Raw genomic sequence first — 26,232 nt, 5'->3', positions numbered from 1 at the left:
GGGAGGTGATTGGTTCATGGTGGTGGTTTCCCCCATGCTGTTCTCCTGTTAGTGAGGAAGTTCTTATGAGCTCTCGTGGCTTTAAAAGTGGCAGTTTCCCCTACACGATCTCTCTCTTGGTGCCTTGGAAGTAGCTGCCTGCTTCCCCTTCACCTTCCACCATAATTGTAAGTTTCCTGAGGCTTTCCCAGCCATACAGAACTGTGAGTCAATTAAACCTCTTTCCTTTTAAACTACCCAGTCTCAGGTAGCATCTTTACAGTAATGTCAAAATGGACTAATACTCAAAAGACCCTGAATAGCCAAAACAATCTTGAGGAAGAAAAACAAATTAGATACATCATACGTTTAATTTCAAATTATATTAAACAATGTAAAACAAAGCTCTAGTAATCAAACAGCATGGTATGGGCATACAAACCAAAGACCAATAGACAGAATTGAAAGCCCAGAAATAAACTCAAGCATATATGGTCAACTAATTTTCAACATGGGAACCAAGAATGCATAATAGGGAAAGGATAGTTTCTTGAATAAATAGTGTTGGAAAAGCTGGACATCCACATGCAAAATCATGAAATTGCACCCTTATTTTACACCATACTTAAAAATCAGCTCAAAATGGATGAAAGATGTAGACATAAGACTTGAAATCATAAAACTCTTAGATGAAAACATAGAGGAAAGCTATGACACATTGACCCTGGCAATAATTTTTTGAATATTCTACCAAAAGCTCAGGCAGCTAAAGCAAAAATAAACAAGTAGGGCTATATCAAGCTAAAACCCTTCTGAACAGAAAAGAAAACAATCAACAGAGTGAAAAGGCAATCCACAGAATGGGAGAAATATTTGCAAACCATATATTTGATAAAGGGATAATATCCAAAATACATAAGAAACTCAGAGAGGTCAATAGCCAAAAATCCAAATAACCAAATTACAAAATGGATAAAAGTCCTGAATAGATATTTCTTTAAAGAAGACATATAAATGGCCAAATGGTATATAAAAAGGTGGTCAACATCACTAATCATTAAGGAAATGCATATCAAAACCACAACATCACCTCACACCTATTAGGATGGCTGTTATCAAATGGATAACAGATAAACGTTGGCAAGGATGTGGAAAAAAAGGCAATCCTTGTACTCTGTTGGTAGGAATGTAAATTGGTCAGCCATTATGGAAAACAGTATGGAGATTCAGGCAGAAAATTAAAAATAGAACTATCATATGACCCAGCAATCTCTCTTCTGGGTATATACCCAAAGAAAGTGAAATCTAAACCTCACAGAGATATGAACACTCCCATATTCATTGCAGCATTATTCACAGAAGCCAGTATGAAAACAACCTAAGTGTCTGTCAATAGATTAATGGACCAACAAATTGTTATATATATTATATAATATATGTATTACTATATATACTATATTATATAGTATACTATATATACTATATTATATAGTATACTATATATACTATATTATATTGTCTACTATATATACTATATTATATTGTCTACTATATATACTATATTATATTGTCTACTATATATACTATATTATATTCTCTACTATATATACTATATTATATTGTCTACTATATATACTATATTATATTGTCTACTATATATACTATATTATATAGCCTACTATATATACTATATTATATTGTCTACTATATATACTATATTATATAGCCTACTATATATACTATATTATATTGTCTACTATATATACTATATTATATTGTCTACTATATATACTATATTATATTGTCTATTATATATACTATATTATATTCTATACTATATATACTATATTATATTGTATACTATATATACTATATTATATTGTATACTATATTATATAGTCTACTATATATACTATATTATATAGTCTACTACATTATATAGTAGACTATATTATATAGTCTACTACATTATATAGTAGACTATATTATATAGTCTACTACATTATATAGTAGACTATATTATATAGTCTACTACATTATATAGTAGACTATATTATATAGTCTACTATATATACTATATTATATAGTATACTATATATTATATTATATAGTCTACTATATATACTATATTATATAGTATACTATATATTATATAGTATACTATATATACTATATTATATAGTATACTATATATACTATATTATATAGTAAACTATACTATATATAGACTATATATACTATATTATATAGTACACTATATAATATGCTATATAGTCTATAGTATATATATACTGTATATACTGTATATATAGTGTATATAGTATATATATACTATATATAGACTATATAGCATATTATATAGTATATACTATATATACTATATATACAGTATATATATAGTATATATACTATTACATATATGTATTATATATGCTATTACATATATATGTATATTATATATACTATATATACTATTACATATATATGTATTACCTATATATAACTCAGCTTAAAAAAAAGGACAGCAGATCATTTTCAACAACATGGATGAACTTGGAGGACATTATGTTAAGTAAAATAAGCCAGACACAGAAAGAAAAACACTGCATGATCTCACTTATATGTGAAATCTAAAAAAGTCAAATATATAGAAATAGTGTAGAACATTGATTCCCAGAGGCAGAGGGGATGTAGTGACCTACATCTCGCTGGTCACTAGGGACGATACAACTTTGTACCCTTGTCGAAGTGTATCCCTTGACAAAGGTACAAATTTGTAGTTGCATAGGATTAACAAGCCTAGAGCTCTAATGTGCAGTATGATAATTATAGTTAAGAGAGTAGATTTCAGATACTCTTCCCACAAGAGGATAACTATTTGAGGAGATGCTTGACTCGTAATATTTTCACATGATTGCACATACATATGTATATATATATGTATATCAACATCACGTCATACACCTTAGATATATGCAATAAAAAGAAAAAATGAGGTATTTTTTGTATCTCATAAATAACAATGTAATTTTTGTTCTGCTCCAATTTTAGTCATCTGATTTTGTATTTCTCTTTCATATTTTAAATCTCCATCATTAATTTTAATTGTTGCACAATTTCCATGTTTATGATATTCCAAAGATAATTTAGTGATTCACCCATAGAATGATACCTTGATTATATCTCATTTACAGTACTTCAGTGGGAGCATCAAGGGAAAAAGGGAGAGAGAGGAAGAAGCAGAAAAAACATTGTAAGAAATAATGTCTGAAAAGGCCCCAAAATACTAATCTATGCATCAAGAAACTCAACACATTCCAAGTAGAATAACTAGAAAGAGATACACATCCAAATACATCATAGTCAAAAAGTTGCAAGCCATAGACAATAAAAAATACGTTGAATACACTAAGAGAAACAGAAACACATTAGACATTGTGTACAAAGGAACTCTAATAAGATTTTTTATTATAGAGACAGGGTTGTCTCCCAGGCATAAAGCAAATGGCAGACCCAAATGCAAACATACCAATAATAACATTAAATGTCAATGGATTAAGTAATCCAATCAAAGTAATCCAGTCAATACTAATACTGGAGAAAAACAAGTACAACTATGGTCTAACAACTATGTGTTGTCTAAGGGGGGACATACTTAAGATTTAGAGGTACAAATAGGTTGAAAGTAGCAGAATAGAAAAAGATAAACCAGGCAAACAGAAGTCATTAGAGGATGTCAGGCAAAATAAACTTTACAAAAAATGTTTAGAAATAAAGAGGGACATTTTATAATGATAAAAGTATTAATCATTAGGAAGAAACAATAGTTATACACACATATGCACCTAACAATAGAGCACCTAAATACCAATGCAAACCTGACACAATTGAAGGGAGAAATAGTTCAAAAATAATATTAAGAGACAACAATACCCTACTTTTACTAATGGGTAGCATAACTAAGCAGATCATCAAAGATATAGAAGACTTTGATTCTGCTGAGAGAGTATTTTAAAAATTAAAAAAGGACATAGACAACTTGAAAAACACTATAAAACAGCTAGATCTATCAGATAGAACACTCTACCCAATAAAAATAGAATACTCATTCTTCTCAAGTGCACATGAAACATTCTCTAGGACAGAGCATACATTGGGCTATAAAACAAATCTCAATTCATTAATAAAATCGAAGTCACACATATTACATTCTTTGATCAGATGGACTGAAATTAGAAATCTATAAGAGAAGAAAGCTTTGGGATTTCACAAATATGCAAAAAGTAAGCAATACACACCTAAATAAATCATAAGTCAAAGTAGAAATCATGACAGAAATACAGGAACACAATAATAGAAAGTTAACCTAATTTAAAAATGGACAAAAATCTGAAAAGACATTTCTCTGAAGAAGACAGGCAAATGGCCAATAAGTATATGAAAAGATGCTCAACATCATTTGTTAGCAGAAAAATGCAAATCAAAACCACAGTGAAATACCACTTCACACAAAATAGTTTGGCTATAATACAAACGACAGCCAATAACAAGTGTTGGAAGGGATGGGTAGTTATCAAAACCTTCCAACATTGCTGGTAGGAATATAAAATAGTGCAGACACTGTGGAAAATGGTTTGGTAGTTCCCCAAAATATTAAACAAGTTAGCGTTTAACCTATTAATTTCACTGCTAGGCATATACTCAAGAGAATTGAAAACATATGTTCACCAAAAAAAAAACCATGTACATGAATGTTCATATCAGCATTATTCATAATAGCCAAAAAGTGGAAACAACCAAAATGGCCATCAACTGAAGATTGGAAAAACAAAATACAGTATGTGTACACAATGAAATATTATTCTGCTATAAAAATAATGAAGTACTGATTCATTCTACATTACTGATGAAACTTGAAAACGTACTGCAGAGTGAAAGATCACAAATTGTATGATTCCATTCATATGAATTGTACAGGATAAGCAAATCTATAAAGACAGAAAGTAGATTACTGGTTGATTGAGGCTATAGGGGATGTGGGGGATAGGAAGTGACTGTCAGTGGATAGAAGGTTTTATTTCAGAGATGGTTAAAGTAATTAAAATTAGATTATGTTGATGGTTACATAACTCTGAATATGTTAAAGACTATTGAACTGTATACTTTAAATGGGTGCAATTTATGGCATCCTAAAAATATTTCTATAAAGCTGCTAAAATAGATAATGCTTGTATGCTACTTTTTGGGCTAGATAAAATGTTAAAAAATTACCATTTTTTATACAATTACACATGTGTTTTCCTCACTTGGAAGTTAGTAATAATGTAGTTTCTATCTCCAGAGAAACAGGAAGCTTTTTAATCTCAAAAAGTTTTATCTATAGCTTTTTAATCTCAAAACATCACCTTTGAATTAGTTATAATTGCATGGGATTTTGAAATTGTTACCTATTGTAGGGTGTAGGGGGTGGAGGATTAAAAGAGCATTTTTCTTTTCTTTCTTTTTTTTTTTTTTTGAGACGGAGTTTTGCTCTTGTTGCCCAAGCTGGAGTGCAATGGCGTGATATTGGCTCACTGCAACCTCAGCCTCCTGGGTTCAAGTGATTCTCCTGCCTCAGCCTCCCGAGTAGCTGGGATTACAGGCATGCGCCACCACGCCCTGCTAATTTTGTATTTTTAGTAGACAGGGTTTCTCCATGTTAGTCAGGCTGGTCTGGAATTCCCGACCTCTGGTGATCCACCCGCTTCAGTCTCCCAAAGTGCTGGGATTACAGGTGTGAGCCACCGCACCCAGCCTAAAAGAGCATTTTTGAAAGAAATTTGGCCTCCTGACCTGCATTAGATCTGGATGATGTAGGGAAGAGGATCCAATGTGGTGTTAAAATATATTTAGAAAATTAACAAAGGAATTTAGTATGGGATATGTTTAAAAGGATACTTAAGTAGGAGAGAAAATTAAAGTTTATGTCTCATGACTAGGGGACTAACTTTCTTAAACAATTTATTTGTTAAAAGAATTATTGGGAAAATGAGCTCTGATTGTGAAAAAATTTGGTGCTGGACTACTTAACAGATGCCCTCCTCACTTAGCTCCATCACTCTTCTCTGGGCCATCATGGTCACTACCAATTCCCCCTTTCTTTTCCCCAACTCCTCCACCTCCACTCACACACACACATGCAAATACACATGGCTTCATTTTGCTCTGGCTCATCTAATGTCACAATAGTCCAATTTAGCATTTGGACTAAATTGCTCAGAAAGGGAAAGGAGGTAAAGAAAAAAGGGAGAGGGAAGGGTAGCAGAATTAGAAAATTGTGAATTTCTCATTTGGGAATTTTCTTCCCTGAAGATTCTCATCAGACTTTGAAATTATTGTAGAGGAATCATCGGTTACAATATTGTGCTTTTAATGGTAATTTTATTGCAGTCCTTGAGAAATTTAAATTGGTGGTCAACTTTTGGTTTTTGATACTCATTTCTATCAAGAACCTGTGAAGATTAGGGGTTAGTTTAAAAATCAGGTGATCTTCAGTATATAGTATTAGTGATATGCTAGAGATCAATATCACTATGTCTATATATTGATGTATTTATATCAATTTCTATCTCTATTTATCCGTAAAATTCACATATATGGCAAAAAGATAACAGAGTTGCATGCTTATAGAGACAGAATATACAATGAAAAATAACTGGGAGGGGGACAAACAAATTTCTTTATAAAAGATACCTCGCAAAGGACTGAGGACTGAAGTGACCAGGGTGTTAACCTTCTTGTTTTACTTATTTCCTCCCTGTTTTATGTTAATGTTCATTTATGTTAACTCTGTATTATTTTGTAATCTGAAAAGTAACTGAAATTAAATATTTAAAAATATGCAGACAACATTCATTGAAAGTGATTCATACACAAAAAGATATAATCATACAGGAATATGGAAGAATATTCAAATCTTCTGTTGAGTTTAAAAGAAAAATATTTTCAAAATGGTTCATATGTGTTAATGGAACAAATATTTAGAAGTATATATATAAATGTTAATCCAAAACAGCTGATGGCATTGATAATGATCGATAGTTCCTTCTTGGTCAGTTTCAACATGTTTTTAGATTGTTCCCATGAGTATTCTTATACTTCAAAAGTAATTGAACTGAAAGCAGAATATTCCATTTCGTGGCCTCTTCCATTATCTTCCAGACAACACACACACACACACACACACACACACACACACACACACACAGTGCAAACATACACACAGAGCCTTATCTTCAGGTGAAAGTTGAATTTTCTATGGGATGGAAAGAGCTGTCTATGTACCTTGTGTCTCTAATTACCTGTATGCTGAGAGTGTGTTTCTCTTCTTTGATTTTTAGACCATAGACAATGTCTAGTTATGAGATGTAACAAATATGCATTTTCCCAGTTTCTCAGAAAAGAGAGTGAGAATACACTAAAATTATTTTTAATAGACTATGATATACTGCATGGTATTATTTTCATATATGCATTCAATGGAATACTAATTGAACTATTATAAAGGAGATAGAATTAAATGTACTGACATCGAAAGATGTCATGCAATGTGAAAAAGGCAAATTGCAGAATGGCAATGTTATGTTAATGATCCAATTTCTAGGGAAAAACATACAGTGAATGTTAGAACATTATGTTATGATCCTATTTAGTTACATAAGCACCCCCTGCCCCTGGTCTTCAGCTGAGAGTGGTAGGAAGTTCTTTGTGTCCATAAAGCCTAAATATGCACATGTTGGCAGTATGACTTACTTCCCTATGTCGGTCATCTGGCCCCTATCTATGCAGGCTTCTCTGGCTTTGATACTTATCTGTATATTCTACTTTTTGTAAGAAATTGGGAAGGAGAGAGGGAGGGTGGGAGGGAGAAAAAGAAAAAGAGAGAGAGAACTTGAGCTTAGATTATAACACAGTCTAAATTCCAAGTCCAGGAGGGAGTGATGAATGTTGGAGAGAGCACACCTGCCTGCTGTGGAGACAGAAAGACCTGAAATCCTATTTTGGTCCCCTCATTCCAAGCTGTTTGATCTTTGGCATGTGCCCAACAGTGCCTGACTTCTCAATCCCTGTCCAACACTGTGCTTTGTCATTCTTTGCTTCTTTGCCTATTAAATGGTGAGTGGGTGGAGGTATTGGAATACAATCTAATTGCTGTTCATCTTTGCATTTGACTGAGTATTCAGCAGTGTGGCTACCTTTTTACATATTTACATATTTTACATATTTATTGGATATTTTTATGTCTTTGCTTTCCCTTTGCAATTTGTGTCTTCCCCACATGCATATATATATATATATATATATATATATATATATATATATATATATGTATACACATATATAGTCACGCATTGCTTAACAATGGGGATATGTTCTGAGAAATGCACTGTTTGGTAATTTTATCATTGTGCCAACATCATAGAATGTACTTGCAACAACCTAGATGGTATACTTACTACACATCTAGGCTATTGCCCCTAGGTTAAAAACCCAAATGTTACTGTACCTAGTACTGTAGGTAACTGTAAGTATTTGTGTATTTAAACATAGGCAAGTTACAGTGAAAATAAAGTATTTATAATTTTATAGGACCACTGTACATCATTGATCAAAACATCATCATGTAACACATAACTGTACATATGTCTGTATGTGTACGTGCATAATAAAATTCAAGCAATAGTAGAGACCCATACCTCTAGTCTGAAACTGAATGCATCAAGGACCTGTATGCAGTTCCCTGGGATAACTTGGGCTTCTTTGATCTTATCTTCCAACCTTCCTGTTTCTTCATAATGCCACTTGCTAAAAACTCATGTTAGTACCAACATTTTGAAATAATTGTAGCTCTATAAAATATTTGTATATGATATATTTGATTTGCCTTCATGATATTTCTGTTATGGGATATTTGTAAGTATGAATCTGTCTATTTTTCCAGATGAATTAGCATGCTGTTTTGTGTTCTTTTATCAACTCCTTAAAGCAGGTGTTAATATTTTTAGCATTTAGAGGAGATTGATTTCAGGCATCATAGCATAAAGAGCTCCACTGACCCATTTCTTAGTGAAAATGGTGAAGAGAAAACAATCATTTATATCCTGTGGAATTTATAGTATGCAGCTAAAGCAAGGCTTAGATGGAAATTTACAGCTGTAAATGCCTTTATTAAAAAAAAGAAAAAGTCTTCAAATTAATAATCTGTCTAAACAAGAACAAAACTAAACCTAAAGCAAGCAGAAGGAAGGAAATAATAAAGATTGTAGTAGGAATTAACAAAATAGAGAACAGAAAAATAGGAAAACAATCAATGAAACCAAAACTCAATTATTTGAAAAGATTCACAAAATTGACAAACCTTTAGCTAGTCTGACTGAGAAAAAACAGTAAAGACTCAATTTACTAGAATCAGAAATGAAAGTGGGCATATGACTTTACAAAATAAAAAGAATTAAAATAAAATGTTATGAGAAATTGTATGCCAACAAATCAGGTAGCCTAGCTAAAATGGACAAACTCCTAGAAATATACAAACTACCAAAAAAGACATAAGAAGAAATAGACAATCTAAATATACCTGAAACAAGTAATGAGATTAAATCAGTAAACAAAATGAAACAAAACAACTACCCACAAGGAAGTGTTCAAGCCCAGATACTTTCACTGCTGAATTCTACCAAACATTCAAAAATGAATATCAATTCTTCACAAACTCTCCCCAAAAAGAACAGAACAACTCAGGTGTCCATCAATACATGGATAATTAAAATGTGGTATATTCATACAATATTATTTGGTGATAAAAAGCAATGAAGTACTGGTATATGTTACGACATTAATGAATCTTGAAACTATACTGCTAAGTGAAAGAAGCCAGTTTTTTTTAAAGCAATCCCAATTCTGTATGATGCCATTCATATTAAAGTCCAGAATATGGAAATCTGTAAAGACAAAAAATAGATAAGTCGTTGTTTAGGGCTGGATGAGGGGACCGGGGATATGTGGAGGATAGCTAAATGATATGGGGTTTCTTTTTGAGTTGGTATAAATGTTCTAAAATTGAATTTCATGATGGCTGAACACTATCTGTAAATAAACTAAAAACCAGTGAAATTTACACTTCAAATGGGTGAATTTTATGTTATATGAATTATATCTCAGTAAAGCTGTTAAAACCATCATATGGCAGATAAGGAAACTACAATTATGAAAGTCTCAATGGCCTCTGCTCTTCAATTTCGTATAATAGAGGTAGAGCTGCAAATCAAACCCACATCTGTCCTTTGGAGTGGCACTCATTTGAACAACTCAACCTTAAAACAACCCTACAATGTTGCCTTTCTGGAAAATCACAGAGGTTAGAATGTGGTCTTGATATTGTTCTCTTTACTAAGAGACTGTTGAATATCTTCAGTTAGTTTGGCTACAGGTATAAATCTGGCCCATACTGGCCCTTCTCTTGTTAATCCAGTGGGGAATGTGGTCACTTCTTTTTTTAGATTCCCTAGAACCGTTCATAGAAGAGTCCTCTTGCTTTGCTTATTAATCCCAGCAAGAAATGTGTCATATGGCATCTCTGTCTCCTAAACCAATTGACCACAGTGTGACAGGAGCTATTTTTACCTGTGTACTGTGATAATGTGTCTGTCGAGTTCTTCCTCCCTGAGATTTTATTTTATTTTTAATCTTAACATGATATATATTTAAGATACTTAACTCATAGCCTCATTATCAATTAGCAGTGTGGAGGTTTTAGTATTGCCTGAGGAATGCAAATCCCCAAATGTGACAGGCTCAAATTTATCTTCTTGTGGAGATTAGAGTACAGAGCACATTATTCAAATTTGTTTCTATTGTGAGGAAGCATTTTCCTCTCCTGCCATCTTCATGTGAATTTCTTTAAATATTGATCTGCATTCTTTCGTCCTGACAGTACCTTAGTATCTGGTTTGCCTTCCCCTAAACCTGGGAGACTCATCTTCACTAAGTTATCATCTCCTAATGTTATTCCAATTTGACCATGAATTATTGAGCTTCCCACCTATGCAGACTTACCTTGCCTCATGACAGACCTTGGGATAGTTGTGACTACAACATCTCTACATGGGATGCTGTATAAGAGGAAAATAGACATAAATTTCTGAGCTTCTGTTTTCTTTTTTAATTTCATCTTCTAACAGCTTAATTGACATTTCATTCAATTATTCATGCAACCATTCATACACAGTATTGTGAGGCACGTAAGAAATAGGGATATGGTTTGAGGTTCTGCCTCTGAAGAAGTACAGATGGGAGAAGTGTCACAGAAATATGTTAATCTTGTGAACCAGCTGAAAATCTTTCCCTGATGACTGGATTCATTGTTTTGTCTTAGAAGAAAATTTTTTTAGCTGAAGCAAGAATTAATGGGAATCACTGAATGCTAGCATCAGAAATCAGGAGTCCCAAGTGACACCATTTTTATGAGTTTATGGTTTTGTCTTCCTGGTATGGAATTCAGAACCTGACAAACACTTTATTATAGTACACAGGGTTTACAAAAGGTATACACAAATGTGTCACATATGAATTTATTCTCTCGTTACTTAATTATTGGTTTCACAAAATGGCACCTGGGGAGTGGATATGGATTTGGAGTGTGTGGCCTATGAGATCACTTTTAGCACCAGCATGTGTTATTGCCAGTTCTAAGGTTTTCATGGGATGGGAAAGCAAACAATGTCTATGTTGGATGGATAGAATTTTTTTTTTTTACCACCATATACTCTATCTCTAGTCCACTGTTTAAAAAGCTTTGCCCTCTAGTGTATTTCCTTGGTTGCCTTCTCATATTCTTTCTGTGTGTCTCTCTTGAATTGGGCTAGGGTATATGTAGCTGAGTTAGTACTTATGGCTCTGATTCTGTGAATGAATTTTCACTTCCTAGTTGCTATAGTAGGCTGACATCAGCCAGAAGAACTTGTTTCTATGGCAACTAAGACCACTTGTTCTGGGATGACTCTTTTATATTTGCAAGGAAGCAGATACATTTAGCAGGTATGTTCACAGGCAAACTGTGTGGGATACTTGCATCAACATCAAACTTATTTGTTTTCTATCATTGATGGTGTGTTGAGGGAAGTGGAGTTTGTTAGGCATAAATGGGCTTAATTTCTCCTGTTGTATGAGATTACGGCAATCCATGCTGAGGAAAGACTGCTGGCTGATTCACTAGCCTTTACTTCCACTTCCTAGTTTCTATGTCATAAAATAACTACTATAGTGGGAGGGCCATATGGTGAATGAGTTCTTTAAAAAAGAGGTTTGCAAACATTCTAATCATCCACCACTGTGAAGGAAAATGTGCTTGAAGTTAACTGCAAATAATGTATCCATATTTATAACATAGGAAAATAGCCCCTGCAATCATCAATCATGTATTCAAATTCCTTATAATAAATACTTTGTGTATATATGTTTGTGTCTATACATACATTATAAGGAAATAATATTGTACAATATGAAACAAAAATTTGAATAAGAAATGAGATATACATGAATATCAGTGAAAGTTATATTATTTTATTTGTTGACCCCCCCCCAACAGATCATATTGTGAATTTCCTGAATTAGCCCACATTCTATTTTAGAAACCACTGCTCTAAAGAACATGTTTGGCTGGGCGCAGTGGCTCATGCCTGTAATCCCAGCATTCTGGAAGGCCGAGGCCAGCAGATCACTTGAGCCCAGGAGTTCAAGACCAGCCTGGGTAATATAGTGAAACCCCATTTCTACAAAAAATACAAAAAAAATTGGCTGGGCATGGCGGCACATGCCTGTAGTCTCAGCTATTCAGGAGGCTGATGTGGGAGGATCACTTGAGCCCAGGAGGTTGAGGCTACAATGAGTTGTGATCACACCACTGCATTACTGCCTGGGCAACAGAGTGAGATCTTGTCTCAAAAAAAAAAAAAAAAGAGCATAATGGGTTTAGTTACACCACTATCTAAGTCTGTAAATGACCCCCTTAGCATAAAATAATAAGCCCTTAATTATGTATGTGATTTGTGTGGTTTCATTTTTGGTAGTGGATATTGTTGATGTCACAGTTGTTTCATTTTTATTATGTTTCAAAAGTATGATAGTTTTCTAATGTATCAACTTCAACTTGGCTAGGATAAACTATGGTGATAGAATAGAGGGCAGTGGCTGTCTTGTAGCCCACAAACACCTTTTCCCAGTTATTCAATCAAGCACTAATGTGGGTGCTGCTCTGAAGGGATTTTGCAGATACAATTAAAGTCTCTTAATCAGTTGACTACAAGTAAGGTAGATTCACCTGGCAGTCCTGACTTAATCAGTGGAAGGCCTTAAAAGAAGATTTAGCCATTTCCTGAGTCAGACTCCAAAGAACAGCTGAGTCTACAAGTGTTCAACCATCACTGCATATTCCTTTCCTGATACCCTGTTAACAACTATGTCAGCCCATGCCCATGGAATTCTTTTCTGCATGTGATCTTCCCTTCCTGCCACTTGTTCTATGAATTTCAGATTTGCTTAGCCAGCCCTCATAATCACATATTCCATTTCTTTTTAATAAATACTCCTTATGTTTGTCTGTCTCTATCATTTATTTATTGTACTGGTTCTGCATCTATGACTGAAACTTGAGAGAAAGAATGGCATAGTATCTGAGGCACATATTGAGGTTTTTCTTTGAAATATACATGCTTTAGGAAGAATCAGGTGGTAGGAATATTTGAAACTCTCATCTCCACATTCCATATTCTGCTTTGGTAGAGTAAACCAACAAGTATCTGAGACAGATCTCAATCAATATAGAAGTTTATTTTGCCAAGGTTAAGGACATGCACCCAGGAGACAGGTCTGTGCCTTTCTCCAAAGATGATTTTGCGGGCTTCAATATTTAGAAGAGAAAAGCAAGCTAGAGGGAAAACAGGAAGAGTATGGTCACATTACTGAATCCACGTGTTAGAAGAGAAAAGGAACAGGAAAGGGAATAGTCAATTATATATTGGTCTCATGCTCAGTAAGTCAGCATTTTATATAAGATTAACATAGAGTAGCTACCTGTAGAGATATTTAAGTTTTTACTCGTAGCTATCTGTTTAGGAACAAAAGGAAAGGAGGCTTCCTGCATGACTCAGCTTTCAGCTTAATTTTTTTTTCTTTTGGCATAGTGAAATTAGAGTCCCAACTTTTTATTTTCCTTTCACATTTCTCTCTCTTTTCTTTTTTTAAATTTTTCAGAGAAAGCATTTTAGAAGAAAATGAGTCTCTGGTCTTGGGTTTTGTCTGATCTCTTGTAGCTAGGACAGTTTATTCCTAGATGACTAGTTCCCACATTGTTAGGAAAACTCATTTTTAGATGGTTGTGAAGTCACATGACCTATGAAGAAAAAATAGGGGGAGGAAGAGAGAAAGAAAATAACACACAAACAGAAAACAAGAGAACAATCCTGCAAAACAGATGTAGGCCATATTACTCTGAATTTCATACATCAGTATACACGTATGAAAGTAGTTCATGTATATAAATAGGTTGCTGTTATTTTCTTCTGAAGTTTAAGTTGCCTAGCTTCAGTTCACAGGGCTTTAAGAAAGCACAGCTTAATTTTTAGTAATTTTAAATCTAGAAAACTGGGAAAAAAGAAGAGAAAAAATTGAAAATATTATTTTGAAGACATAGAAAACATTTTAGAATTCAGTCCAAATTTTAGAAGATAATAAAAATTGAAAAACATTTGGCAAGGCTACAATCTAGTAAGAGGTTTACTCTAGTTTATTTTGAAATATATGTTTTTTCTCTTTCTAGTCTCCAAGTTTTACCAAAGACAAATCATGGAAGGAACAATTTGTTTGCAAAATAAGTTTTAGTTTTATTGTATTTGGCCTGATTACTTGCATAAAGTGCAGCAAGAATAATTATTTGCCATATAGGCTCTTTTAAAAAATTGGCTTTGATGGCACTTTGTTCCATAAAGAATCTTAGATTAGACCTTTTAAATCCTTGACCCCAGCCACGGATTTAAATGCACCTGTAAATACTTGTATGAGTTGGGTGAATTCCTCACCTTTGTAGGTCCCGAGATAACTTGAGGTTTCTGGGCTTGTCAGAAAATGATGTTCTTTACTTACCACAGGTCAGGAACCCTGTGTATGGACTGAGTAGACAAGGTCTGAGGCCAGTTTTTCCAAAGGGCTTTAGTTAGCTCCATAAATCAACTTTGATTCTTTAAAGCAGTCTGTTTATATTTGAGAGCATGCCATTCCAGTCAAAGCCTTGGTAAAATAATCAGTGTTTTCAATGGTGTCCTGTTATACAAGAAAAACAGATTCTCATTGCACTTACACAAATAACTATATTGCCATAATTTAAGAATACTCACAAATATTTTCCAAATCCTGGAGAAATCAGGTAGAAAGAAATTTGCCCCAAGTTTTCCTCAGAGGAGTAAACTTTACTCCATTACTAAAAGCTGTAAATAGATCAAAAGAAAAAAAAATTTGACTCTGAAAAACAAAACAAAAAGAATCAACATTTTAAGCAAAACAAATTATAGAAAGTTTATTTTTCTTTTATTAGTTCAGTCCATGCTATTAACTCTTGTTTTGCCTGATATTGGGTCAGCAATCCTCATGAATACATCAGCTCTCCATGAGAGCCCTGGAAATTTTTATTTCTATTCCACTGGCACAATCTCTAAAGTTATCAAAGCCTATATTTAAGAGTACTCCTCAGAGTTCTATTGCTGATTATAAATTGCTCTATAAAAGAGTCAAAGTAAAATAACAATTGTGGATGACAAAAGTCTTAGAATAGCCATGGTTAAAGACACAATTAACGAGGAAATTTGGTTACTTCTGTGGCATACAACAATTTTACATAATAATAATTACTACTGATAACATATACTAAGACATATCAGAATCACAGGACTCTCATACAATTTTGGAATGCATATAATAATGCCTTTTATAAATATAATCCAAAGAAGGTTAAACACCATTCCATATTTGACAATACTTCCTATATGATTTTATTATACCAAATAAGTTGAATATGTCTCTTTTGGACTTCAGGGGACCTAACATCAAACAACTAATGAGGACTGAATTTACAATTTTATTTGAGAAAGTTTCTCAAATATAAAAAGCTTAAAACACTTGATATCATAAAATAGGCTCACAGTTAATTGTAAACTAAGTCATTTATTTAGCCAAAGTGATAACTCAAAGATTTTTTTTAAAGGCAAAAAAACCTTCATTCTTTGAGAGAGGAGACTTAACCTCCCAAATAATAAGCCCCAATAAAGACAGCATGAGGTCAATTAAATCTGTCTCTCAAATCTTATTAACAAATCTATTACATTTTATTTATCCTGACCACAAGACATAATTTTCCTAAACCTTTTCATAATCTTATAATTTTTTTTTATTAAAGACTAGGTTAATGCTCCAAGAAAAGCTTGTTAATTTGACATAGGGGCCCAGACACTGGTCTTGGATCAGTGTGCCTTTGATATTAATGGTTAACTCATAGAGAAACTGAACTAAATGTATCTCTCAAAATCGGCTCTTACAATCTCACACGATAGTCCCTGGGCTTAGAGGAGTTGGAATAATTTTAATTTCTGGCCCTGTGTCTCACGAATTCAGTTTATTTTGATTGTCATCTTCTACCAGGTCTGAAGACGAGGCTTTAACTGCTGTCAATGTTTATGATTTAGCAGGACTTGGTGTCCCTTTTAGACCCGGGAGTCAAAGCCCTGCAACTTAATGGCACAAGGACTTTGAAAGCAATGCAGAAAGTTATATAGATGTAATAACCTTAATTTTAAAAAGTAATCTCAGTTTTTCTATGTAAATCAAAACTTAATAACAATGGCACAGGAATTATTTCAATAAAACTTAAAGTCTGTTTGTTAGGCCAGTTACCAAAAGTCAAAAGAAAAGACCTTCTGCAGTGTGACTGCTTTTCCCTAGCGGGAGTTTATTTAGATAATCTGTAGGTTAAAACTAATGAAAAGAGTACTTGAATTGAATTAATTAGACACAGGAAGAGTGTTGTTTTTTTTTTTTTAACTGAGGTGGGGTCAGGCTCTGTCACCCAGGCTGGAGTGCAGTGGCATAATCTCAGCTCACTGCAACCTCTGCCTCCTGGGCTTAAGCTATCCTCCCACCTCAGCCTCCTGGGTAGCTGGGACTTCAGATGCCTGTCACCACACTCGGCTAATTTTTGTATTTTTTGTAGAAATGGCATTTCGCTGTGTTGTCCAGGCTGGTCTCGAACTATTGAGCTCAAGTAATCCACCCTCCTCCGCCTCCCAAAGCGCTGGAATTACAGGCATGAGCCAGCCACTGTGCTCAGCCCAAGATTCTTTCTCAATTAAAATTATTTTCCTTTTAACCTTTCTCACCAAAAATACCTCTTTATATTTACACATTTCTTTACATTGCTCTTATTTACTGCTTCCTTTTACCCTGTTTCAGAAATCGCCTTTAAGTGTTCTTTGAATTAGACAAAAATTATTTTTCCTTAAATATAAACTTTTTTTAGAAAAATGTTTTCCTATAACAAAATCTTTAAAGATAAATTGGAAATAACCCAGACATTTAATGGATATCTATTATTTAATTTTATATGACTTTTGATTCTAACTTATATAGTACTTTTATTTACAACCATTTCTTCCATTGCCCTAATTAATTTTTTAAATAGCTTACCTAGATTACTTGTGAAAACTGTGATAGTCATCATTTAAAATTACTTCCCTGTTAACCATTTTTATAGCCTGTGAATTTCAGGTGTTTACCTAAGTAAGAACCTTATGGTTAAATAAATGTTCTTTTTTTTGGCCAACAACCCAGGATTTAGCTGTTTTTGTTAAATGCACAATATTAAATGCCTTATTTATCAAAAAATTACACAACCAAAGGTAATTCTTTTGGGAGTTGCAAGCATTATAACCCTCATGCCAAATTTTGACACCTTATAATACCTAGCAGAGATAAATATTAAACCGCTTGACCAATAAATTTAAACAAAATGTATGTTGACGATTCTGAAGACATTTCTAATTTTATTTTACTAATAATTTTAAAACCAGCTTATTTATTAAGGGTTTACTTAACTCGTGAACTTGAATACACGCTCGAGCTTAAAGTTTCTATTTTTATGATAAAGTATTTTATTTAAGCACTTTATTTTCCTTCAAGCCAATCAGTTAGAGCTCTTTTATATACTTTTGATAGTGAAACGTTATATACTTGACACATAAATTCATAGATGTATTAGACACACAGATAGTAGATCTTATAGATTCATAAGACCTCTTTTTTCCCTATTTTAGACTTCCGATTTCTTGATAACCTGTTTCATTACCCTAGGCAAGTGTCAGCTACATAGCCCTAAAATTGTATATCAAAGGAACAACTCAGGTGAAAATCAGATAGGGAAATTTACATCTCAAAGTGGCCAGGAGAGAGAGATAGAGACAGAGAGAGAGAGATTAAGATAGAGACAGAGAGGGATTAAGAGAGAGAGAGAGAGAGAGTCTGGTATGAGAGAGGGTGATTAAAAATGCATGCCATGTCAAACATAAAGTTATAGAAATCTATCACAGGATTTTATAAGGAGGTCAATTTTATTCAGACAGGTAGTTTTAAATTTAGTAGCTATCTTTTAACTGAATTTCTGAGCTCTGGGCAGAGCCTACACTGAATCCTGTGTCTCCAAAAAGAAAAAAATGTCATGGGACTTGGCCACATAATACTTTTACAATGCACTTAGTTACAAACATATTTCTCTAAGTATCTAAACCACACCCTTTTTTATCTTACACACTCGAGTAGTGTTTGTTCTAATAGCTATTTCAGTTAAAAAAAAATCAGGTAACACAATACACAAGTAAGCAGTTTAAGATCTGAGAGGAACTTGTCTCTACACTCTTGGGGTTCCGTAAGGAGAAACAGAAGTTTCTCACCAAAAAGGGAGCCTGGTGCCTTCTCTGTTTTCTATAAGGAATCTCGGTCTGTTAGAAATTATTTTAGGTCTCTTATGCAGCAGAGGGTGGCAAGAGAAAGGAGAAACAGGCAAAAGTAAATGGAGAAAACTAAATTCAGTTGATGGAAAAGAAAGAAATCTTGTTCTCAGAAATCAAGATCCTGTGAGAGAAAAAAAAAACCATAAAGACCTTACACATACACACACACACACACACACACACACCCCTTGGATATTAGCTTTTAATAAAGCTGACTTTTAACCATTGAGCTCTGAAAAAAATCCTTTTAAATCTCACCATATTTTAGCTGGGACAAATTGCTATTTCAAAAGTAACACAAATATTAAACTGGAAGGGACTTGATTTAGCAATAAAACCCAGGCTATTGTGGTGAACAAAAAAGGGGGCAGAACCTTAGCTACTGAACTACAGGGTGGATGACAACCATTGCTCTTTCATTTTGGCTTGGCTGGCAAAAAGTGCCAAGCTATGTAAATAAAACCCCTCAGGGTAGTCAAAAGTTTTTTTTTTTTCCTTTTTCTTGTCATTTTATCTTTTTCCTTTTTTTTTTTTTTCCAGTTACAGGAATTTAGCCAATTCAGAGTCCTTGTTCCCCATAATTTTGAACTTTAGATTTGATCAAGTCAGGTAGAATTGGTCAAAACCCAATGGGAGAAAGACTGAAACAGTAACAAAAACAGAAACAAACAAATAAGCAAAAAAAAAAAAAAAAAAAAAGCCAGTTAAGCAAAACAAACAGCTACACATTTTATATAATTACTCAGCACTCTAATGGTAAGGAGAAATTAAGACCAGCCGGTTGTTAATCTTAACTTTAGTCATTAAAAAGAATTTCCAAGACAAAACCCCAATTTAGATACTTACCTAGGAACTGGGGCCCAGGCTAAAGATTTCTTTGTACCATCCTAGAAGAAGGAAAATACTCAAACTTGCCTTCCCTGTTGGAAGTGAGTAAAACTCTAGAAAAGGAGATGTACAGCAAAATAAACCTAGATCTCAGCCAAATTTTGGGATATCAGGGATTCTCTGGAGTGGGGAGCTCCCAGGCCTCAGCAAATCATCCTATTGGTTTGAGCAATAAAGACAGCTCAAGCTGTCTAGAGGTCAAGCCCAAGCTGTCAGGTCAGAAGCACTTCCACTCAGAATCCCTCCCTTTGTGGTTACCAATTTGTAAACCGTAAAGTATCTGAGACAGATCTTAATCAATTTAGAAGTTTATTTTGCCAAGGTTAAGGACATGCACCTGGGAGACAGGTCTGTGCCTTTCCCCAAAGATGATTCTCAGGGCTTCAGTGTTTAAAGGGGAAAAGCAGGCTGGAGGGGAAAAAGGGAGAGTACGGTCACATTACTGAATCCACATGCTGCAAGAGAAAAGGAGCAAGTAAGGAAGGAGTCAATTATGTTCTGGTCTCATGCTCAGTAAATTGGCATTTTACATAAAATAAGGTGAACACAGAGTAGCTACCTGTGGAGATATTTAACTTTTTATTTGTAGCTATCTGCTTAGGAACAAAAGGAAAGGCGGCTTCTTGCATGACTCAGCTTTTAGCTTAATTCTTTTCTTTTGGCACAGTGAAATTAGGGTCCCAAGTTTTCATTTTCCTTTGACAGTATTCTGAGGCAGAGGTTCTACCAACCCTTTTTCTCCTTTACTTCCTGTTAGACTGACTAGGACAACAAAGGGAGACAGGAAGTCTGAAGGAGGGAGAACAAAGTTGCTTCTTCTTCTCTCTGCTTCCTGTTTCTTTTTGTCACCCTCACAAAAGACATCTACCTGGGCAGGGCCATGTGGATTTAGTAGGAACAGGAGGGCCAATTTCATAGTTTCTCTCTAAATATGAAGAACTATTGTTATTATGGTGGCTTTCACTTCAGAAGGACTCCTCCTTCAAGAACCTGAGACTTCAGTACCAGTTAAGCAACTCCCCTGATTTAAATGTAAATGTTCCAATTCGGTAGGGGCTCTTTCTCCAAGCTGTTTCAGTGCCATCTCTAATTGGGCAGCCCATTTTATCAGAGGTCTGGGTCCAAGTCTTACCCAAATATCCTAATTGCTTTCCCAGGCCTTGGATTGGTAGTTATTTCTGGCACTCTGAACACCTATTTTAACCAATTTCCTGTTGTAAATTCCATTTAAATATCTTCTGTGGACTTGGTTTTTTAATATTTTCCTTTTTCAGTAATTCCATTGTAATGCACCTATGTGTGATTTCTTTACATGCATTCTGCTTGGGATTTGTAGCACGACTTGATGTATGGCTTTATATCTTTTATTATTTTTACAATATTCTTTGCTATTTTCGTGTTCAATATTTATTTTATCCATTCTTCGGCTTCTCTCCTTCTGGAACTGCAATTACACATCTCATAGCCCTTTTCACCATGTCCCATCTCTCTTCATCTCTTGATCTCTCTCCTCTTTTTAAGACATAATTTACGTATCCTAAAATTAATTATCTTAGTTGTACAATGCTGTGATTTTTACTATATTCACATAGTTGTGCAAACATGACCACTATCTAATGTCAAAAATATTTTATCACTCCAAAACAAAGCCTTGTAATACATTTGAAGTCCCTTCCCTCTCCCATTCCTAGCCCCACAGTAATTACAACACTGTATGAGTTTACCCAGAATACTGGACATTTCATATAAACTGAATTATACAATATTTGGTATTTTGTAATTGGATTCTCTCACTTAGTATATTGTTTACAAGGTTCATCCATGTTTTATCATACATCAGTACTTTACTCTTTTTCATTGCTGAATAATATTCCATCATATGAATTGACCACATTTCATTTAGCCATTCATCAGTTGGTGAACCTTTGAGAGGTTTCCAATATTGGACTATTATAAATAATGCTGCTATTTTCATTCCTGTACAGGTTTTTATGTGGACATATGTTCTTATTTCTCTGAGATATGTAACTAAAAGTTGAATTTCTGAGTCATAGGATAACTCAATGTTTAACTATTTGAGAAACTGCCAAAGAATTTCCAATATTTCTGCATAATTTTACAGTCTTATCTGTGATGTATGAAACTTTCATTTTCTTCACATCCTCACCAACACTTGTTATTGGCTATTTTTTTATTATACCCAATCTAGTGGTTGTAAATTACTATCTCATTGCGGTTTGGGTTGTCATATACCTAATGACTAATGATGTTAGAAGTTATATCCTGTGCTTATCAGCCATTCATATATCTTCTTTGGATAAACGCCAATTCAAATATTTAGCCCATTTCAAAAATTAGCTTGTTTGTCTTCTTAGTATTTACGTTTTCTCTTGTCATTGTTATAACAGTTATAATTGAATTTGTGAAATTCAGTGGGAAAACAAGAACAAACTAAACATAAAGCAAGCAGAAAGGAAATAAAGATTCGAATGGGCATAAACAAATAGAGAATAGAAGAAAAAGAGATAATCAATGAATCAAAATTTAGTTCTTTGAAAAGATCAACAAAATTGACAAAGCTTTAGGTATACTGACCAAGAAAAAGAGATATTAAATTCAAACCACTAAAATCATGAATAAGAAAGGGGGCACTACTAATAAAAAAAAACCCTACAGAAATAAAAATAATTACAAAGAAATTCTATAAACAATTTATGTCAATAAATTGGTTATCCTAGAGCAAATGAGAAATTTCCTAGAAAGACACAAAATACTAAAAACTACTCAATAATAAATAGAAAATCTGAGAATACTTGTAATAATTAAAGTGACTGAATTAGTAATTTTTAAATCCCTTTAAAAATAACCCAGCCCTTGATGGCTTCCTGTGAACTCTGTCCAATATTTAAAAAACAAAATAATACAAATTCTTCACAAAATCTCTCAAAAAATACAAGAGGAAGGAATATTTCCCAAGTCATTCTGTGAGGCCAGGATTATCCTAATACCAAAACCAGACAAAGATATCACACATAAGGAAAAGTACAGATTAATGTCTCTTAAGAAGACAGATGAAAGAAATGCTTAACAAAATGCTAGCAAACCTAACCCAACACATGAAAAGGATTTCATATCATGACTAAATTAGATTTATCCCAGGAATGCAAGGTTTGTTTAACACATGAATATCAATTACAGTCACACATCACTTAACAGCAGGGATATGTTCTGAGAAACACATCATTAGGCGATTTTGTTGTGCCAACATCCTACACTGTACTTACACAAACCTAAATGGTATAGCCTACTACACACCTAGGCTATATGGTATAGCCTATTGTTCCTAGGCTACAAACCAGTATAGCATGTTACTGTACTGAATGCTGTAGGCAATTAAAACACAATGGTAAGTATTTGTGTATTTAAACATGTCTAAACCTAGAAAAGATACAGTAAAAATATTATCTTAAAGATAAAAAATGGTACACCTATATAAGGAACTTGCCATGAATGGAGCTTGCAGGACTAGAAGTTGCTCTGGGTGAGTCAGTAAGTGAGTGGTGAATGAATGTGAAGTCCTAGGTCATTACTGTACATTATTGTAAACTTTATAAACACTGTATACTTAGGCTACACTAAGTATATTTAAAAATATTTGTCTTTCTTCAATGATAATTTAACCTTAGCTTATCATAACATTTTTTACTTTATGAGCTTTCAATTTTTAAAAATTTTGACTCTTTTGTAATGACACTTAGCTTAAAACACAGACATATTTTACAGTTGTACAAAAATATTTTCTTTCTTTATAGCCTTATTCTATAAGCTTTTTTTCTATGTTTAAGATTTTTTAAAAAGTTTTTAAACTTTTCTTTTAGAAACTAAGACGTAAACACACACATTAGCCTAGGCCTACACAGGGTCAGACTCATCAATATGATCGTCTTTTACCTGTACATCTTGTACCACTGGAAAGTCTTCAGGAGCAATACACATGGATCTGTCATGTCTTATGATAATGATACTTTCTTCTGGAATACCTCCTGAAGGACCTGTCTGAGGCTGTTTTACAGTTACCTATTTTTTTAAGTAGAAGGAGTATACTCTAAACAATAAAAAGTATAGTACAGTAAATATGTAAACCAATGACATATATTTATTGTAATTATCAAGTACTAAGTACTGTACCTAATTGTATGTGCTATACTTTTATACTGACTAGCAGTACAGTAGGTTTATTTGCACCAGCATCAACACAAACACATGAACAATGCATTTTTCTACAAAGTTATGATGGGTATGACATCCTAGTTTGACGGGTATGACATACTAGGTAATAGGAAATATTTTAGCTCCATTATAATCTTATGGAAACATTGTAATATCTGTAGTCTGACATTGAACAAAACATTGTTACGCAGCACATGACTGTAATGTAATACACCATGTAAATAGAATAAAATACAAAAAATGCACATGAACTCAATAGACCAAGAAAAAGCATTTGAAAACTCCAACAGCCTTTTTTGATAAAAGCCCTCAAGAAACTAGGAATAAAAGAAAATGTTCTCAACCCTTACATTTGTAGTCACTGAATTGTTAATAGGAGTGCCAGGACAATTCAATGGGAGAAAAGGGTGGTCTTTTCAACAAGTAGTGTTGGCACAACTGGGTATCTGCATGTAAAACAATAGATTTAGAACTGTACCTGACAGCATATACGAATTAACTAAAACTGAATCACAGACATGAACATAACAGCTAAAACCATAACATCCTTAGAATAAAACCTATGAGTAAATCTTCACGACTGGGAGTGAGGCAATGCCTTCTTAGATATGACCCCAGAAGCATAATCAAAGAAAATGGATAAATTGGACTTCATCAAAATTAAAAACTTTTGTTGGCTAAATTACACCACCAAGAAAGTGAAAAGATAACTCACAAAAAATTTACGTAGGAATAAATCTTCATGACTGTGGGTGAGGCAAAGGCTTTTTAGATATGACACCAGAAGCCTCACTAAAGAAAAAAGATAAATTGGACTTCATCAAAATTAAAACTTTTGATTGTTAAATTACACCATCAAAAAATGAAAAGATAGTTTACTGAGAATGATGATTTCCAATTTCATCAAGAACAAAAAACCAAACACCACATATTCTCACTCATAGGTGGGAATTGAACAATGAGATCACATGGATACAGGAAGGGGAATATCACACTCTGGGGACTGTGGTGGGGTGGGGGGAGGGGGGAGGGATAGCATTGGGAGATATACCTAATGCTAGATGACGAGTTAGTGGGTGCAGCGCACCAACATGGCACATGTATACATATGTAACTAACCTGCACAATGTGCACATGTACCCTAAAACTTAAAGTATAATAAAAAAAAAATTTAAAAAAAAAAAAGAAAAGACAGCTCACAAACTGAGAAAATATTTTCTAAGTTTGTATCTGATATGGTGCTTCTGTCAGAATATAAGAAGAACTTTTGTAGTCCAACAATAAAGAGACCAATAACACAATGAAAAAAATGGGCAAATAATTTGAATGGATATTTCTTCAAAGAAGATATATAAATGGCCAATAAGCACATGAAAAGCAGCTCAACATTATTAGTCATTAGGAAATGCCAATTAATATCATAAGATACTACTTCAAACTTACGACAATGGCTAAAATAAATATGATAAACACTAAATGTGTTGTACAGGATGTGGAGAAAATTGAAGCTTCATGTGTTGTAGTTGGGATTGTAAAATTGTGCAGACTTGGAAACTCTTTGGCAGTTTCTCAGAAAGTTACACATTGAGTTACTCTATGACTCAAAAATTTAACTCCTAGTTACATATCCCAGAAAAATAAAAACATATGTCCTCATAAAACTTGTGCAGGAATGAAAAGAGCAGCATTATTTATAATAGCCCCAAATTGGAAACCTCCCAAAGGTCCACCAGTTGTTGAAATGGATAAATGTAATGTGGTCAATTCATATAATAGAATATTATTCAGCAATGGAAATGAATAAAGTACTGATATATGCTACAACATGAATGAACCTTGAAAACAATATACTATCTGAAAGAAGCTAGACATGGGACCATATATTGTATAATTCCATATATGTGAAATACCCATAAAAGGCAAATTTAGAAAGACAGGAAGTTAGTTATTTCCTGGCTGGGGACAAGGAGAATGGGGGCTAACAGAAAATATGCATGTGGAATCATATTGGAGTGATGAAAATATTCTAAAACTGATTTATGGTGATGTC

This window comes from Homo sapiens, chromosome X, assembly GCF_000001405.40.
Source record: "Homo sapiens chromosome X, GRCh38.p14 Primary Assembly".
NCBI lineage: Eukaryota > Metazoa > Chordata > Mammalia > Primates > Hominidae > Homo > Homo sapiens.
This window is presented reverse-complemented; position numbering follows the sequence as displayed.